The following is a 19,412-nucleotide window of genomic DNA, read 5'->3' on the forward strand; positions in this document are numbered from 1 at the left end:
ACCCTTTGCAAAAAGCAAAAAGACTGCCCTCACACCTTTTACCTGACAGTCACAGAGCCTCCCTGAGCTTCTGACGCCATGATAGGAAAGAAGAATGGGGGTTTTCCAGACTTTTCAGGGAGAAAAATCTTTTTTATAAATGATCCCAAAACCACCACCTCCTTCTCTTGCACCTCCCTCCTGCTAGCATATCCTATTGTCAGGTCACATACTCATGTTGCAGTATAAGGGAGGTTTGGAAAAATGAGCATCGGGTATTTGACCTCTGTCATGGAAGACAGGTTCTGCCAGCAAGAAAGCAGGAAGGAGAATGGTGATTGCGTAGGCATTAACAAAACCTAAGCAGAGGCCACACACATGGGAGACTGGCAATAAATTAATTGAGATTAATATCTATTAAACTCTTACTCTGGCCTAGTCATAGTTTTAATCACTCTATGTCCCACTTAATTATTACACCAATTTTACAGATGTAGCAACTGAGGCATAGAGATGTTTAATAACTTAGCTAAGGCCACACAGCTAGTAAGAAGCAGAGCTGGGATTTCAATCCAGGCAGACTAACTTCAAAGCCCAATCATTTAACCATTTATCCACTGCTTCCACATGATTGTGATAACACAGGATTAGCAGGTGAAGGCCAATGAAAGTCCATATAATGGAAAACAGAAGTGGCAGGAAATTTTGATATATTCTTATACTCTGGAATTTTATTCTTTTGGCTTTATTCCCTTCTTTGTAAGTAATCTACAATGTGTGACTCATTGCTATAATCTAGATTATGATAAGTCATTCAAATGGAGATAAAGCATGTGTGTGATGTAGTAACATTTAGGATAAGTTATGACACTAAAAAAATTACTCTTTTATTCTTTAAAAAGATAATATGCTTCTTGAAAGGTTTCTTTTCAAAAATGTGTCACTTACTCATAACCATTGTTTTTAAAAGACTCAATATTTTTGTAATATGAATATTTGATCTTGAATAAAATGTACTACATATTGTACACTTTTTGTTTTGGAAATTATTGCATTTTTAGTAACCAATTATAACATTACATCAAAAAATTGATTCATTTTCCATTTTCCTAGTTATCAGACTCTAAAAAATCTCTACTCAAAAATATCCCATTACTTTCTAATAGAGAAAAAATTAAAAACAGGTACATTGTGAAAGATAAATACTGATTTTTTTTTTTAACGTTGTTCCCAGCCGGGCGCGGTGGCTCATGCCTGTAATCCCAGCACTTTGGGAGGCTGAGGTGGGCTGATCACCTGAGGTCAGGAGTTCGAGACCAGCCTGGCCAACATGGTGAAACCCCATCTTTGCTAAAAATACAAAAATTAGCTGGGCATGGTGGAAGGTGCCTGTAATCCCAGCTACTCAGGAGGCTGAGGCAGGAGAATCGCTTGAACCTGGGAGGTGGAGGTTGCAGTGAGCCGAGATCATGGCATCGCACTCCAGCCTGGGGAACAAGAACAAGACTTCGTCTCCAAAAAAAAAAAAAAGTTGTTCCCTAGCCTTCGTGGGGAGTATAGAAAAAGGCAGAGGAGAAAGTACTCATATGAGAGACACTAAAAGAATTGGTGAGGAATGAGGAATGAGATCAAAGTGGTCTTAGTTTAAGCAGGACCTTCATTAGAATTTTCAAGCAAGCCAAAGCCAGACTCTTGGAATAATCAAAACAGGAGATTATTCAAGAAAACTGGGAACAAGTTAGAATGCTAGGCATGGTGGGATATGGGAAGAGCCCTGAGACCTTACTCTGAGACCTTGGCTATGCCCAGCTAGTTAAAGGGAAAATGGCAACTTTAGAAAATAGAGCTGACATGTCACAAGAAAAAGAATGTTAGAGGAGAAAATACTCTGACTTTGAATTCAGAAAAGAATATATAGAGGTGAACTCTAGTCCCTTTTGAAGGCCCCAGGAAGATGAGTGCCTTTGCCAGAATAGTCTTTGAAAGCTCTTATTGAAGAATCCCTTTTGGGGAGAGCAGTCGGTAAATGTCTGGGGTGGAGGGGAGCTCTTCTACTTCTCCTGTCTTGCCTGGGTTTTGAGTGAGTGGTGCTTAGGATTCAGAGGAGTAAGTCATGGGCTCTGTATGAGGCCAGGAAAGGCTTGTTTTGTTGATGGCTAGTTGGATGGTTTTACTTTTCAAAGTGAGGAAGAGAGATGAGAGATGAAGATCCCTCAAGATAGAAAGAGGCTGAGGCAAATTGGGAGCCAAGGAAGATCCACATTTGTGGAAAATTATTTAAAGAATGTTGCCAGCCAGGTGTGTGGTGGGTCACGCCTGTAATCCCAGCACTTTGGGGGGCTGGAGCGAGTGGATTGCTTGAGCTCACGAGTTCGAGACCAGCCTGGGCGACATGGCAAAACCCTGTCTCTACAAAAAATACAAAAATTAGCCAGGCATGGTGGTGTGCACCTGTAGTTCCAGCTACTCAGGAGGCTGAGGTGAAAGGATGGCTTGAGCCTGGGAGGTGGAGGTTGCAGTGAGCTGAGATGTCACCCCTGTACTCCAGCCTGGGCAACAGAACCAGACCTTATCTCAATAATAAATTAAAAAATAAATAAAGAATTGTCAGGTTCTAACTGAGGTCCGAGGGGAGTCAGTGGGTGAGTGGCAGGTAGCTAGAAAAACATTCGAGGAATCATAGGCAGTTTCGACATGGCTTTACTCTCTCTCTGGGCATGAGTGAACCATATGTACAGCGTTAGCAGGGTAATTAAACCTTTTTCAGACAATAGTGGCTCTGAGGCCTAATGCGCCTCATGTGGCATGGTTACATAATGTGTGGGGTTGTGCGCCTGCACTCCAAACCCACTGACTCATGCTGCACCAGAAGGCCACTTCAGCCTACTCCTGACTAAAGTGCAGCCATATCGCTTACACTCCACCCCCTAGGCTGAGGGCCTCCTCCAGGCAGGGACACGTGACCATAGGGTGGAGACCTGAATCCATATTCCACAACAACAATACAGACAGCAACAGCTCACTACTAGGATCCCAGCTATGCTACTTATGACTGTTAGGGCCCAGCACAGGCCAGAGCCTGGGGAATGCCACCATCTCTGCAGGGGGTCATCAGTAAGGCTCTCAACTGCCTTAATCTCTCATGAGACCCCTTACAGGGCTGCTGTTAAGTTCTGCTGATTGTCAGGGATAAAGGTACAATGCTGTGTTCCTAAAAAGACACAGGTGCCTCCTTGGGCAGCAGTTATTATGCCTAAGGCCATTCTGTTTTGCCACACCACCTTTCTGATCTGATCAACCTCATCCATTAACAGGAGGAGGGCCACTTGGGTGTAATTCAGAGCCCAAGTGTTGTGCTCTACAAGAGCAGTAACTTGTGCTTCTATAGTTATGACACCCACTCCAGGGATAGTCATTGCCAAGGGGTAGAACCACCAGGGGGCTCGTCGCATTTGCGAAAACAAAGAGCGTAGCACCTCCCAGTTACGCAGACATCTGGGCAACATGGAGAGAACAGAGGCAGGTACATAAGGCCACCCCCAGGTACAACATCCAATCCAGTCATCTGGTAGGTAAGGCCACCCTGTGTCCCCACAGACCCATAAAGTCTCAGGGGCAAAAAGTCCATTGGGCCTGACCTTGGTGGGGCCGCTTGTTCCATCCTACCTTTGGTGTGGTGACACATGTTATGTTTGCACAGGCCATGACGGGTACCCAACCCACAGTGGTGTTACCCCAGTGTTGCAGTGCCTGGGCCAGGGGTACTACATGTTCCCCCACTAGCCAGCCCCACCTGTCATAAACGCTACAGGCCAGCCAGGGGGTGGGTGCACCATGGGTCTTGCAGCATCCTTTGTCCAGAGCTTGCCACTTTGCATTCCAAGTGTCAGCTATGGGACCCCAAGTCTCCAACTATGTCCAGTTCTCTGCAGATGTGGAATGCATGTGCCAAGGCAAGCTATCCGCAGCTGCTGCTGGAAGGGTGGTGCAGACCCAACAGTTGAAAACATTGGTCACCTCAGCATAGGTCCACAATACAGTTGGAGCATGTTAACCTATGTCGAAGTGACAGAGCAAGCACAGGTACTAACGGGGGTAAGTCACGTCCCTCAGGCAAAATACAAGCTAACCTTTCATCCCTGAATAACAATGCAGCCCCCAAGCACTTTTGCCCTGGGCAATGGTACTACACCTTCTCAGCTCCCCATGGTTTCTTTGAGTCCTGTATCAGTGCCACAGTCACAGGGGAGCTCATAATAGGCCACACAGACAGTACATATGTGCCCCGGAGGAGGGCTCCTTCCCCGACCGCCCCACCATGAACAGCCAACCATGGGGGCCATGCATCAAACACCCAAGGAGCGACATGCAAGTCACACTGCAGGCCCTCCCCACAGGGAGCTATGATGGCCAGCCACCAGCAGTGGGGGACTTGGAGGGTCCACAGACACAGCCAGGTTTTCTGTTCTCCTGCCTTCAAGGGTGTTGGGGCAGGCAACAACAGGTTACCATAAGTCCCCATATCTGGTCAGAGGAGGTCATCCCTGGTATGTATCTGCAACTGAATGGGACAGTAGCCCAGTGTAACAAAGCCTCCACTGGGGCTGGGCCACCTTTTGGTGGTCATTCATTCAAGGTTTGGAGCACCATGTCCAGCCTGGAACTCCAGCCCTGCAAAGATGGGGGTGTGACATGCAAGCATAACCCATTCTTCAGGAGCCTGTTATATCCCTCAATCATACCCACAGCTTGTGAGTTGTATGGCACATGGAGTCCCCACTTTATGCCCATTCGTTGTGCCCATTTTTGTACCTGTTGTCCAGTGAAATGTGTTCCCCTATCACTCTCAATGGCCAGAGGGTAACCACACAGGGCACATAAGTGTTACAGGGCCTGAATGGTGTTCTGTTGGTTGACCACCCTGCAACGGTAGGGGAACAAAAGGCCTGTGGCCACGTCCACAGCCATTAGCACATGTGTATACCCTAGCAGCTTCCGTAGTGGCCTGATGTAGTCTACTTGCCACCTGGTCAAGGGCACTTGCCCTATCGTTACTGTTGTGTAACACTGGGCAGCTGCCTCTGATTAGGGTATGTCTGAGCACATGCTGGGCATTTCTGACAAGCGTCCCAAATATCTTGCATGGTCAGGGACAGATCCCAATCTATATTGACCTGTTGCATCAGTTTACCCCCGCATGTCCCAGTTTCTGGTGTAGCCACATGGCCACATCTCATGTAGGTGCCGACTCTAACCATCAGACCTTAGCCAAGACATCTGCCTCATCATTGCTGGGGGTAGCCAAAGGCCACTTATGTATTTTCCTTGTAGTTAACCACAAGGTTAAACCTTGATAGATCACCCAAATATCCATACAGATTACCATAGGTTTCACTTCCTTGGTGATCACCATCCATAGTGCTCTGTATTCAGCCCATTGGCTACTTTGTTCATACCCAGTTTCAAACCATATGGTGTCAGTACTAGGTTGGACTGCAACAGCGGTCCAGGCAGCAGTGGCACCTCAGCTAGACCCATCTGTGTACCATGCCACATCGGGAGTGGGGGCGACACCCTTCCTTAAATGAAGGCTGAGGGTCTAGGGGTGCCTCAGGCCTTATCTTGCATTAAGACTACAGGTCCCAAGACCTCTTGCAACTCTACTGCTAAGGGGCTTGTACTCAGCATACTCCACTGCTCCAAGTAGGCGCCCCACTTTGCCAAGGTGGATGTCTGTGCCATCCCAGTCCAGGGGGTCATTACCCATGATGCACCCATCCTGCTACTGGGTAAGTCATTCACACAATGACTGCAGCCGATCCTGTCACACTCTCACAAGCCTGAAGGGTGGCATATACAGCTGCTAGCTGTTTCTCTATCAAGGAATACCAGAGCTCAGCTCCCTTCCATAGAGATCAGAAGCCTGATAGCATTCTCAAGCACTCCTTGTGCTGCCACAGGTCCCAGCTGAAACCATCTGTGGTCACATGCACATCCAGCTCAAATGGGTACCCCTGGTCAACTACCTGTAGGGCTTCTGCTGGCTGAATAGCCTGCTTGGCTGGCAGGAAGGCAGTCTCAGCCACATCATCCCAATCCCAGGTAGCTCCCTTCTTTGTTATTCAATGCAATGGTTTTATCACTTTGAGCTAAATTGGGCACAAATGCCCACCAATATCCCAGGAGGCCCACAAAAGTTTGCAGGTGATTCACCGTGGTGGGGTGGAGATATGCCTGAATCTTATCAATGATAACCTCTGGGATGGCCTTTGTCTCACCTGACCAGATAACTCCTAATAATTTGGCAGATAATCTAGGCCCTTGGACCCTGGATTCATTGACAGCCCAACTGCATGCTGCCAAATGTTGCTGCAAGAGGGGCACTGCCACTTCTAAATCAGCAAGAGAATCAGAGGTTAACATAATATCATCAACATAATGAAATAGGTGGGCCCTTTCTGTACATTGCCAAGCAGCTAAATCTGTGGCAACTAGACCGTGACATTTGGTGGGGCTATGCACATAGCCCTGTGGCAACACTGTAAAAGTTCATTGTCCCCCGTCTCACATGAAGGCGAACCGTTCCTAGCTTTCTGGAGTGATGTCTGTGGAGAAAAATGTATTGGCCGAGTTCACTACATAGTGGTACTGTCCCAGTTCTGTCATCAAATGGTCCATCAAATCCATTATTGATGGTACAGCTGCATGCAAAGGGGATGTTACTTAGTTTAGTTCCCGATAGTCCACCATCATCCACCAAGTTTCATCAGGCTTTCTATCTGGTCATACTGGAGAATCGTAGGGGTTGTAGATGCCACACACTATCTGCACCTCCTCCAGCTTCTTAATTGTCTCAGTCATCTCTGTATGCCCACCCGGCAAATGGTATTGATGAATGGAAGTAACCCATTGGGGTTGTGGCAGGACCTGAGGCTGGCGATGCATATGTCCATGCAGCACTGGCTTCACCACATGCCCTTGGAGTCTGAATTACTTTGCCGTGGTTTGTAACACCAGGCCCTGTAAAATGTCCACCCCCAGAATGTATTCCAGTATGGGAGACACATACACAATATATAAGCGGAGAGCCAAACATCCCATGCCAAGGTACGATACAGGCTTCACTTTCATTGATCAGCCACCATAACTGTCAATGTAAGCAGGTTTGCCTGGAAACTTATCCAGGTTCCCATAAACAAGCCTGCAATCTGTGCCAGTATCCGCCAGCGCCAGCACCCGCTGTACATTAGTGGGGGAGCAGTGGATTGCTAATTCCATACGTGGCCTCCAGTTATCTAGTGTCCCTGCAAGCTGGGGACCTCAGCCAGTTCCCTAATCAAACAGAAAAGGCTCCACATTTCCACCCGGCTGAAGCAAGTAGTCTTTGAGCTAAAGTACCCAGGTGGGACCGGGTGGCACCGGGTGGCGCAGCAACGTCCTTCTCCCCCTTGGGCATTTTCTGGAATTGCTACTCTGAAGACAACTATCTTCACAAAGTTAAGAGTACTTCATTGGGCTGCTTATCAATTTTCTCTCATCCAATCCTGGCCAAAATCAAATCTATCTACATCTGTGAGCATGTCACTCATTGTGGCCCCCTTTTCTCCCATGGTGGGGACCCTATGGGCAAGACGTCTTCCCCTTCTTTACTGTGTGGAGCCCTTGGTCCCACCAATGGCCTTCTGCTTCTCCAAGAGCTGCCACAGCAGGAGTCACTTCATGTATGCAGCATCCTACGTATGGGGTAAGGACAGCAGCTAGGAAGCCAAAGGCACTTGGGAGCACAGAACCCAACATGAGATCCCTCATATGGGAGGTGAAATGTTCATCATCTGGCCCCTGGGTATTCAGGTCAAACATAGTGTGATGGCTAATACTGAGTGTCAATTCGCTTCAATTGAAGGATACAAAGTATTGATCCTGGGTGTGTCTGTGAGGGTGTTGCCAAAAGAGATTAACATTTGAGTCAGGGGGCTGGGAAAGGCAGACCCACCCTTAATCTGGTGGGCACAATCTAATCAGCTGCCAGCGAATATAAAGCAGGCAGAAAAACGTAAAAAGGAGAAAACAGGCCTAGCCTCCCAGCCTACATCTTTCTCCCATGCTGGACGCCTCTTGCCCTAGAATATTGGACTCCACATTCTTCAATTTTGAGACCTGAACTGGCTCTCCTTGCTCCTCAGCTTGCAGACAGAGTTTACTACTTAATAAACTCTCATATATATATACATATATATATGTATGTATGTATATGTATGTATCTCCTATTAGTTTTGCCCAAGAGAACCCTAATACACATAGCCTGCTGCATACCTATCTCCCAGCTGACTTGCATCAAATTGGCATACAACTTCCATTTACTCATGGTTTCAAGTATTTCACTGGTGTCGTTCCACACCGTCCGTATGGCTGCCCATAGCCACTCAATCAAGGTGTGGTCACCTTGCCCTTGTGTCAGCCACCAGCTAACCTGCAACCGCTGATGGAGGGAGAGGTGAGTCGTGATAGAGGCCATCTTTTCCATCTCAGAGGCAGAAGAGGTGATACTGTCTGCTCCCTCATCCCATAAATGAAGCATCCAGATGAGCAGAGTTTCCCCTGGATGCTGACGGCACTGCTTGCCTAACTCTCACAACTCAGTTGGGGTATGGGCAGTATTTGAAGTATGTTGCATTACAGTGGTGGGTCTCTGAGCCTATCCTTGGGGCCCCAGTGGCTGTTCATGTTCTACCTTCTGATGGGCCACTGGGTGAGCCCACAACAGGGGTTCTTCCTCCTCGGTATCTGACCAAGTGGGGGTCTCTGGCTGAGACAACAGACCCAGGCCTGCATTCACAGCAGCTTTTTAAATTTAATTTTATTTTCTTGAGATGGGGTCTCACTCTGTCACTCAAGCTAGAGTGTAGTGGCGTGATCTCAGCTCACTGCACCCTGCACCTCCCAGGTTCAAGCAATTCTCCTACCTCAATGGCCCAAGTAGCTGGGATTACAGTGGAGCACACCATGCCCAGCTAATTTTTGCATTTTTAGTAGAGAGGGGATTTCACCATGTTGGCCAGGCTGGTCTCAAACTCCTGACCTCAGTTATCCACCCGCCTTGCCCTCCCAAAGTGCTGGGATTACAGGTGTGAGCCACCCCGCCTGGCCCACAGCAGCTTCTAATTCCTTTTCCAAGTGCTGTAGCCAGGACTTCAGGCACCCTGCCTACACCTGGAGGTCCCCATTCATGGCAGCTTCTAACTCTTTTTCTGGGCTGTGTAGCCAGGCCTCCAGATGCGCTGCCTGCATCTGGAGGGTCCTTATCTGCATTGCATCCCTCAGGGACTGGGTGTGTACTTCTCGTAGTGCAGTCAAAAATGCCCATCCAACTCTGCCAGCAAAGGCTCGCTCCTTGGTGGTCTGTGTTTCCAGCTGCTTCAGCACCTTCTCCATGCTCATGGGGGACCCAACTACTGCCGCCCAGGTTTCCACCAGAACAAATCCAAGCAGAACAGCCACCAAGGGGTACCACAACCCATGTTGCAGCCACATGGCCAACCTGGAATCAGTGGGGGACCAAAGGCTCACTCTCCTCAGGATCCTGTTCATGATGCCAATTGTCAGATTCTAACTGAGGTCTGAGGGGAGTCGGTGGGCAAGTGGTAGGTAGCTGGAAAAACATTGAGGAATCATAGACAGTTTTGACATGGCTTTACTCTCTCTCTCTGGATGCGAGCAAGCTGTATATACAGTGTTAGCAAGGTAATTATACCTTTTACAGACAATAATGGCTCCAAGCCAAGCACGAGCTCACATGGGTGATCACCTAATGCACCTCGTGTCACGTGGTTACATAATGTGCAGGGTTGTGCCCTGTGCTCCAAACCCACTGAGTCATGCTGCACCAGAAGGCCACCTCGGCCTGCTCTTGACTAAAGTGCAGCTATTTCCCTTACAAGAATGTTGCCATTTTCACTGACTGCTTAAGTTTTATTTTTTTCTGTGATATAAATACCTCTCCAGTTTCCCTAAGAACTCTTTTTTTTTTTTTTTTTTTTTTTTTTTTGAGACGGAGTCTCGCTCTGTCGCCCAGGCTGGAGTGCAGTGGCGGGATCTCGGCTCACTGCAAGCTCCGCCTCCCGGGTTCACGCCATTCTCCTGCCTCAGCCTCCCGAGTAGCTGGGACTACAGGCGCCCGCCACTACGCCCGGCTAATTTTTTGTATTTTTAGTAGAGACGGGGTTTCACCGTTTTAGCCGGGATGGTCTCGATCTCCTGACCTCGTGATCCGCCCGCCTCAGCCTCCCAAAGTGCTGGGATTACAGGCGTGAGCCACCGCGCCCGGCTCCCTAAGAACTCTTTAGTAAAGTCTAAATTGCTGCAAACACAGTATATACATGGTTCTTTGAGAAATTCCAAATACTACATTTAAGACAATGTAGTGAAACACAGAAGCAGCAGGTGTGGATCTGGGAAGCAGGAGTTTTGAGAAATCAAGCATACAGCATAGTTGCAGAAATTTAGGAGGGGCTTGATCTTCCATGGGCCATGAAATTGACAGAGGTAAAAGCCAATTATACCTACTTCTCTGGGGAGCAAGAGAACTCCAGCTGACAGTACTGATAATTATACTAATTAATAATTACTGTAGAATCAGCTGCCATTTATGGAGCATTTATGGATGAGGCATTAAGAACCACAGCCTTATAAGCTTAAACTTGAACTACATTTTTGTCATTTGACTACCAATGACTATAGGTCTCAGATTATTTTTGTTGTTGTTTCTCATTTTATCTCATCTCTTGTCAATCAGCATTACATTAAGCCCATTTGGGCAGCCAAAGAAGTATGATCCTTCCTCTTAATAAGCCTATAAGCTGAAGGGCTCTTATTTCACCCACACAGCAACAGTATTTAATAGGGAGAGGAAAGGAAATTCCAGGAAAGCTGAACGAAGAAGACAACCCAACCTGCTGTCTGAGCTTTGTCTCCATTCCTCACTCGCATTACAGTTACACCCTCCAACTGGCCCCCACTCCACCTGCGGCCTCCGCCCATCGACTTTCAACTCAGCAGCCAGAGTGGTCCTTACAAAAAGAACGTCTGAAGGTCATACTATATCACTCTGCCAAATTTACCACTGAGTCCCCATTTTACAGAGTAAACTCCCATCCTTTACATAAAGTTGCAAGCTTTGCATGATCCGTGCACCAGAGGCCACCTGGATGCTTTAGCCTCTCCAGAGCCAGAGATTTCACCTCCTCTCTCACTCTGCTGTCCTGTGCCCACTCCACTGCAGCACCAGCCAGTCTCAGCCTCTTGCCCTTCTACCTGCTCTGTTTTACTCTAGGGTAGTTGCGTGATTCCTCCCCTCACTCCTGATAATCTTATCTGTGAGGCCTTCCTCATACCACCTAACACAAAATAGGAAACCCCAACTTCCACCTCTCATTGCCTCCCCACCTTATCTGATTTCTTGTATGGCCACTAGATATTACATTATATTTCTTTGTTGTCTCTCTCCCTTCTCTGGCATGCAAATTCCATCATGACAGGGATTTGGTTGGTTTTGTTCATTCATATCCAGCACGTAGAAAAGTGCCTGGCATCTAGTAGGAACACAGTTTTGTTTTTAACAGCTTTATTGAGATATAATTGACAGAATTTTACTTTTGAGTGAATGAATGAACGAGTGTGCAAAAAGAGAGAGTAAGAAAAGTTAAGGGAGCAGTCCTCTCCTGAGTAAGGCAATCATTGAAAATCACTTGTTAGAGGCTATGTGTTGCAGATCACTGAGGAAGCATAAGAAATTAAAAAAAAAGTGTCCATTAAAACAATCTTATCATGCCTCACATATGATCAATAAGAAACTAGACGGATTGAACTGGAGGCCAAGAGGGGCAGGGCAGGGTTTTAATAATAGAGAAGTGATTGTGAATTTTAGGATTCCAAAACCTACAGATCAGTGGGTTTTTTCATTTGTTTGTTTGTTTTTAAAAACAAAACAAAACAAAAAAACCCCACACAGTTCTTTGCAGTTGTTTCTTTACAAAGAATATTTAAACAATGGTGTCACCATAACTAACGCAATGTTTTTCTCCTGAGTTCTGAAGAATACACAGGCCTTTTCCATAGAAGGTAAAAATGTGTTTAAAGACTATAAAGACTACCTCTTTCTGGTGTAAAGGCTATAAACACGAAGTAAATCCCTAGACATTTCCCAGGAGCTTTCCTGACCCAGAGGTTACTTCAAGTATGGCCCAAGGACCAGTGGCTCCAGCCACATAAATACATTTCCAATATATATTTCATATATTAGGTTGAGTTTAGCGTAAGTTATTAATGTTTATCATAATGATTTATTTATTCTTTATGGGCAATCCTCACTTATTAAAGATGTCATTGATTGGCTGAAATTAATAATTCCCTGTTAATTCACAATTTATATTTTAGTGGTAACTATAAAATAAAGGCTGCATCAGTCACAAATTAATTTACATTTGTATTGGAAATGTAAGGGAGCATAATGGAAGTTTAATAGACATGTAGAATATTGGTCTCATCTTGACCCACTGAGTCAGAATCTGCATTTGAATAGGTGATTCTTGGGTATAATAAAACTTGAAAAACACTGTTCTGGACAGCTTTTGGTACATTTTAGAAGGGAGGTCTGTGCAGGCCCATTCTGTTGCTGAGAATTTATTTAGAGATTCATAGCCCCAGATACCTGCACCCCAAGAACAGAAGGGGGAGCCCTAATCCCCCAGTTGCCAGTTGAAAAACTGGTTATAGTTGCTTCCTGTTCTTCACAGGGCAGGTAATGTGAAATGGAGTATTAGAAGCAGCAGAAGTAGAGGAAGGAGAACAAAAAATACGTGCTACTCCTTCCCAGTGGGGTTGCGAGCAAGAGGAGAATCTGGCAAATCCCTGGGGTCTCAGAAACATACGGAGGCCACTGTCAGAGCAGGAAGCAATCAAGGGGAAACTAGGGAAGAACAGAGTCGAAATCTTGTTCTTCTACTTCTGTGTACTGTTCTGAGTCTCCCTGGTTATTTTTCATCTCTTTAATAAATTGCCTACACTTCTGCTTTCTCTTTTTTTTTTCTCTCAAAAGTAACAGTAGTAATAATGATAATATCTTATATCCACATGATGCTATATACTCTCTGGTATATAGTAGATATAACAGTCTTTTACGAAAGGCAAGTTTAGGCTGTTTTGCAAATGATAAATGTTCCATACACTTTCTCCCATTTTTAATTGGGTTATCATTAAAAGTATTTCTTGTTTTTCATTCATTTTGGCAAATTTTGGAGGGTTTCGGTGTGTTTGTGTGCACACAGGATAATTTGTTGAGTTATTGCCAAAGTGAATTGAATGAGGAAAGTGAGGAAAAATACTACCATTAAGTAGATCAACCCCCTTATTTTGAAGGTGACAAAACCAAGCCACAAGAGTTTAGGTGATGTGACTTGGATCCTATAGCAAGTGAATAAAACCAGTATCTCCCATTCTTTACATTCCACAGTACACTCTACTGATATGCATGGAATAAATTTTAGAGAACCTGTGAGCTAAATCTTAACCTTGTGTCCAAGACAGATCTCACCTAAATGGTCCTTTAAGAAGATAACTACTCTTACTATTCTTTAATTTCCACAGAAGCAGAATTTATAAGTTCCTGTGACTCATGAGATACAGTATGATTAAGAAGGGCTTTGAAAAGTGCAAAGCACCATACAAACATGAGAGATTGTTTCTAATAATGACCGGTGCCCATAAGCCTTTATTGCCGAGAGTGTCTTTACAATATCCAAACTCAGTGCCTCCTTCTGCAATGTGAGACAGTCTCTGTTTTGTTCAACTTTGGAATCTTTTCACCATCAGGTTCTCAAGCAGCTATCTCTGAAACCAACTGGCTTATCCTGACATGCTCAATTCTGAGTTTATGTTTCATTGTGTTTCACCTTTGCGCTTGATCTCCATGCTTTGACATGGTGGTGATTTGACAATACAAATGGCTTCCCAGACCCTATCTGGACCATCCACTTTGTTCCTTTGCTTTGAAAATGAGTCTAAATTTGAAGGAAATTGGATAAAGGAGGTAGGAAATGTACCATCTGGGCCCTTGGCAAACTGTGTTTTGTTTAAATTCTTAGTCTTGACAATTTGTCTCTCTTCTTTTCTGATTTATTTCACAGGGATTACATAAACTAACGTGGCCCATGAGCTGTGTAGCCCAACCGTACAGTGTACTACACTTTCCTCTTCTAAATGGGATTGTTGAAACCAAAGCCTGAGAGGAACTAATCCAAAATTTTCTTTGATTTCCCCAAAATGTCAAATCTCCTGACTTCTCTGACACCAATTGGATGTTTTATTCACTTAGACTGTGGGTCTATACCAGCTGACTCCATGAAAAAAATAGACAGGCCCTTCTGGGGCCAGGTTGAACTACAGAGTCAGACAATGAACAAAGATGTGCTTTAGATTCTTCAGTTACTGAAATTGAATAACTCTTATTTTCTTGAAAGCAGAATAAAAGCAAAGCAGATTCCTAGAGTTTATATAACATTGAAATAAACACTTAAAAACTGTATTCCTCCTTTCTTTTCCTTTAGGTATATTTCCTTTCTCAGATATTATAAAATCTAAAATCTATGGCTATGACCAGTTAATTTTTGTTTAATGAAAGGATAAAAAGTTCACTTTATTGACGAAGTCACACTTCACAAAAAGATGCTGTGCTCAGTATAATTTCTAATTCCTTTACTCAATTTCATTTTCTCCACCTTTTCAGGCTGTAAGGTCAGCCTGATGAAAGAAGAAGGCAGTAAAAAGAGACCTTCAGCTGGCCCGGTCCCAGGCCTGGTTGCTGATAACAAAAAGGGCTCTGAATTAGACGTTTAAAAAAAATCAGATAGATAAGAGTAGATATCATGCCTAGACTCTCAACCCGGGCTAAGCAAAGCCTGAGTGAGCTTGTTCAGGTTTCAACCCAAGTGAAGCTGGACAAAATTGTTCATTTGTAGCTGTTCTTTATAAAGTTGCATGCACTCTCTAGCCAATATTTTCCACCCTCACATCCCAAGGGAACCATAGTAATGATAAAAACAAGTGGAGAGAGTGCTGAATATCAGTCCTCAATCACTCCCTCCCATAGCAAACAACCTATACAAGTGTCATGAAAAACTTCCCTGAGTGTTGGCAAAAAGCCGCTCTTGCAGTGTGCTTACGAGTTTAGTTTTTGAGCATATTGGTTTATCGATGGGAATATTTGTATTCTTAAAATCACAAGAGGTTGGCATAAGAAAATAAACTGCCAGGGATATTTGAAATGAAGTGCATTGTTCTGCTCAATGAGTCACATTTACAGACAGAGCCTTTGGAGCTGCCACACCTCTGGCCTTCTACTCTGAAGACACAGTGAACAAGCAGAAAAAAACTAGGGCTGGGAATTCAGTTTGGGAGAAAAGGCAGCTAAGCTGACCTTTGAACTTTAGGGTAAGACCCTTGGGCAGCCACGTAATGACCAGCGCCATCCCATTCTTCAAGGAGAGCACCATACTCAAGCACTGCCTGTCAAGAGGGAGCAAGAGGGAAACTGCTCTAGAACAGAGGAGATGCCTTCTAGAAAACAAGGGTGGGGGAAAGAATTTTTACACTATAACCCGGGGCTCCTTCACTATCTTGTTTTATTTACTTCTCCTGACTCCATTCATTCAGTCATTCAACAGAGAGTTTACTGAGATAGGTGCTGGGGAAGTACTGAATGAAAACAGACTCCATCCCTTCCTTCATACAGCAGGAAGCTGACAATCAATTATACAATATAAATTTGACATTGTTACCATGATCATACTGCAAAGGTGAGTTATCTGATGCTATGGAAGCATGAAAGAAGGGAATTTGACTTAGTTATGGAGCTCAGGCCAGGCTTCCAGGACACAGCTGGAATTTGAAGGAAAAGCAGGTGAGAAGAAGCATGAGAAAATGATTCAAGCAAGACAGCAAGGGGAAAAAAATTCCCTCAACATCTGTCAACATTGCAGTGCAATATCAAAGCCCAAGTTCAGAAGACTCCAACCTTGCTGGGAAGAAGAGTGACATCACACTGCCCATGAAGATGTTGAAAACAGACAATGTTGGTGAAATCCCTGTTGAGAGCAGGGACAGACCGTTTCCTAAATGCTACACTCCCCTCCCCAGAAATGTTCCGAGACGGGGCCACAGCAGGGAAGAGTCACAGGTTTTGCTTGCTGTGGACCTCTGACGCTGTGAATAAAACTTTTTCTTTAGTTTTACAATAGATGTCACTGTGCGGCATTCTTAAACACAAAGAAGAGGGAGAAACGAGGTTACTAAGATAATTTAGTAACTAAGAGAGAACATGATATATTGAAAAACAGTGGAATTTGGAGTCAGTTGGTTCATTCTAGTACGATGATAATACTCCCAACCTTGAACAAGTTACTTAGATTTTTTTGAACATTAGTTCTGTCACCCATAAAATAGGCATAATAAAATCCATCACTCAAAAAATGTTAGTTTCTTCTCTCATTGGCTAATTTTCATAATCAGAATTTCCAAGACTCATTATTTTCATTTGAAAAGTACAAATTATACCTGCATCAGAGTATTGATATTTAAATGAGTTCATTTGTAAACTTTAAAGCATGAGGTAAATATCAGGTATTATGAATCAGTCATAAAATATTTGCGATGGTTACTATATATTAGATCCTGTTTTTGGTCCTGGAGAAATGGAGGGTTGACTGAAGCAGGGCCTTGCCCTTAGGAGAGAGCTGAAGGAGAAATCTATTCTTCTTCCTGAGGCAGAGAGAAAAGGTAGCAAGGCCAGAGGGAAAGGGCTGCACAGGCACCCAAGTTCCTGGCAGTTGGCCCTCTCTGGGGGATATCTGATATCTGACCTCCAGCCATCAGCTGAGAGCTTGCCCAGACTATCTGACCCAAGGGCTGTAGGGACTGGGCTGCAGAATGGATTTCTAAATCTTCAAAATAAACAGGCAAGGAAATCTTGCAACAAATGAAAAATGACTTGAGGGCAGTAGAAAGTACTTGTGCCAACTGATGGAGGAGGTTATGAAAAATGAGGAGAGGAAAATCACTATAGACTTCTGTGTTTCTACTGCAAGTGGATTGAACAGTCCAGATATACTGATTTCCAGCCCATATTTCCTGCTTTTAAGCTCCTTTGGTCTTATTTCCCTCTTCTTTCTGAAAAGTTATAAAATGAATGAAGGGCAGAATGTTTCTTGCCCAACCATGATTCAGGAGGCAGCTCAGCCACAGAACAGGCAAGTGTAGCATTGCCTGGAGGAAAAGGACTTGTAGAGGCAGGTCCCAGATGGATCCACCCCAGACTTTTCAAAGAAGACACCTCCTTCATCTTGTGTTCTAAAACCTTGCAAGTTCAGGAAGAAACCATCTGCATCCATATTGAAAACCTGACACAATGTATGCAGCAGGCTCAGTGTGAGTGAACTGGAGGCTTCTCTACAACATGACCCAAAGGAGCATTGCAGGTCCTATTTGCAACCTGAAGTTTGTGACTCTCCTGGTTGCCTTAAGTTCAGAACTCCCATTCCTGGGAGCTGGAGTACAGCTTCAAGACAATGGGTATAATGGATTGCTCATTGCAATTAATCCTCAGGTACCTGAGAATCAGAACCTCATCTCAAACATTAAGGTGAGTGGAAATTATGAAATTGATACTAGCATCCCATTTGATCAGACCTGTAGCCTTATTTAGAAGCTAACTACCCTGCCTGGTTTGTATTTGAGTAATACAGAGAACAGCATTTTTAAAAGATAGCGCCACAACGTTATGATTATGGCTAACTAAGCCAGTTTGTTCATCTAATTCTGTGTAGTCTCAGCTCACAGAGTGTTGATCTAGCCCTCTATTTTGTTATTGTTGGTTGCTACTAATTTCAGCTCTTTTGTTTTCCTACATGACTGTTTTTGGGGTAGCAACTTAGAAAAATAACAACCCATTGTGGCAACAAAGATTGAATATTTAACTGATGAATAAGCATGATAATGAGCATGCTTGTTAAAATCATATTGCTAGATTCCATCCTGAGGGTGAGAATTCTCAGGCAGAAAGGGTGAGAGTCTGCACGGTGGGCCAAAAAGCAAAATTATTTCTTTTCACTTGAATGTGCTGTAACATAATTGACTATTTTTACTTTAATATGGCAAGGGAGGATCATAGCTCTATGATGTAAGAGCCTCCATTTAGTATTGCTTTAGTGAAATCAGTAGCATCATAAGGTGTGGTCTTGAATGTGCCCACAGGTGTGACATGAAAAGGATTTGTTCCACAAAAGCTTAAAAGCCTTTCTCAAAATTGGGAAAACTATGAAGGCAAGCACAGACATATAATTAGTGTCCTAAAATCTTCCATATAATCATTTAAAGTTTTTTTAAAAATTTGCTCCTATGTTTTCCCAAAGTCTAGGGCTTTCTCTAAAAGAAATGGGTCTCTTCAAAATATTTCATTGTCTTTTATTACTGTTTAAGCATACCAGAAAACCAAAACATACAGGATTTACAAGTGGTAAAGTAAGTTTTTCTTTTGTCTGGCTGTAGGAAATGATAACTGAAGCTTCATTTTACCTATTTAATGCTACCAAGAGAAGAGTATTTTTCAGAAATATAAAGATTTTAATACCTGCCACATGGAAAGCTAATAATAACAGCAAAATAAAACAAGAATCATATGAAAAGGTAAGAATCCAGGATTTCATTCAATGATCTCAAGGGGAAAAAAAACACCAAAATATACTGTGCTCAAACGATAAAAGTGAGAAGTTAAGTAAAAACAAATCATCAGTATTAACAATGCAAATAATATTAATGGGCAGAATGTTATCAACAAAATATATGAGAATAAATGAATGCAAATTGTGCAGTAAAAAATGAGTCAAATGCCATAGCCTAAGTAGTTTCTCAGAAGATCTCTTTATTTTGTAACTTATGGAGTACTTTCTGAAAAGTTTGGTTGAGGATCAAGAACTAGTTTTATCCTACTGAGGATGAGCTGCAAAGGGAACAGTTCCAATTATGACTATACCCATTTACCATCCTGTCAGGAGCAATAAACATGCATGTCCAGACAGAAATATAAACCACCATGCATATAAAAATATGACTGCCATCTTATGCCATGGTGTAGATTATCAGAATTTCACATTAGCTCAAGTCCAGAATATTGTTTTAGGGGAATAAGGAGATTAGAAGGAAGGGAGGAAGGATGTGGGGATGTGGATGAGTAGGGGAATGGCTACCTTTTTTTTTCCACCTATAGAGGAACTTCACCTTGAAAGGCTCTCATAAGTTGCAGATCATGATTAAGCACCCATGATGATGTCTGGTACATACTAGTGTGCACACTATAAATAAATGATAAATAATATAAATGGTAAATC

General features: G+C 43.8%; 1 protein-coding gene across 2 annotated transcripts in view, besides 2 other annotated features; it reads left to right on the plus strand.

The window, feature by feature from the left end:
* Window positions 2,907-3,550: an enhancer, noted in NCBI's record as "NANOG-H3K4me1 hESC enhancer chr1:86875355-86875998 (GRCh37/hg19 assembly coordinates)". NCBI's record gives its function as "activates a minimal SCP1, AML or CMV promoter by ChIP-STARR-seq in naive H9 embryonic stem cells {active_cell/tissue: H9 hESC(naive)}" and the evidence as "EXISTENCE:reporter gene assay evidence [ECO:0000049][PMID:30033119]".
* Window positions 7,589-7,758: an enhancer, noted in NCBI's record as "experimental_9486 CRE fragment used in MPRA reporter constructs". NCBI's record gives its function as "activates a minimal promoter by MPRAs in K562 erythroleukemia cells, with activity observed for both the introgressed and non-introgressed 1:86880122 variant alleles {active_cell/tissue: K562}" and the evidence as "EXISTENCE:reporter gene assay evidence [ECO:0000049][PMID:34662402]".
* Window positions 17,406-19,412, plus strand: part of CLCA2 (chloride channel accessory 2) — a 32,383-nt gene continuing 30,376 nt past the window's right edge. For both annotated transcript variants that reach the window (NM_006536.7, XM_011542448.4), the window contains exons 1-2: window positions 17,406-17,668; window positions 18,574-18,711. In NM_006536.7, coding sequence (NP_006527.1) covers window positions 17,483-17,668; window positions 18,574-18,711 — 324 coding nt within the window. In that variant the 5' untranslated portion in view covers window positions 17,406-17,482. The remainder of the gene's footprint in view (window positions 17,669-18,573; window positions 18,712-19,412) is intronic.

This window comes from Homo sapiens, chromosome 1, assembly GCF_000001405.40.
Source record: "Homo sapiens chromosome 1, GRCh38.p14 Primary Assembly".
NCBI classification, from domain to species: domain Eukaryota; kingdom Metazoa; phylum Chordata; class Mammalia; order Primates; family Hominidae; genus Homo; species Homo sapiens.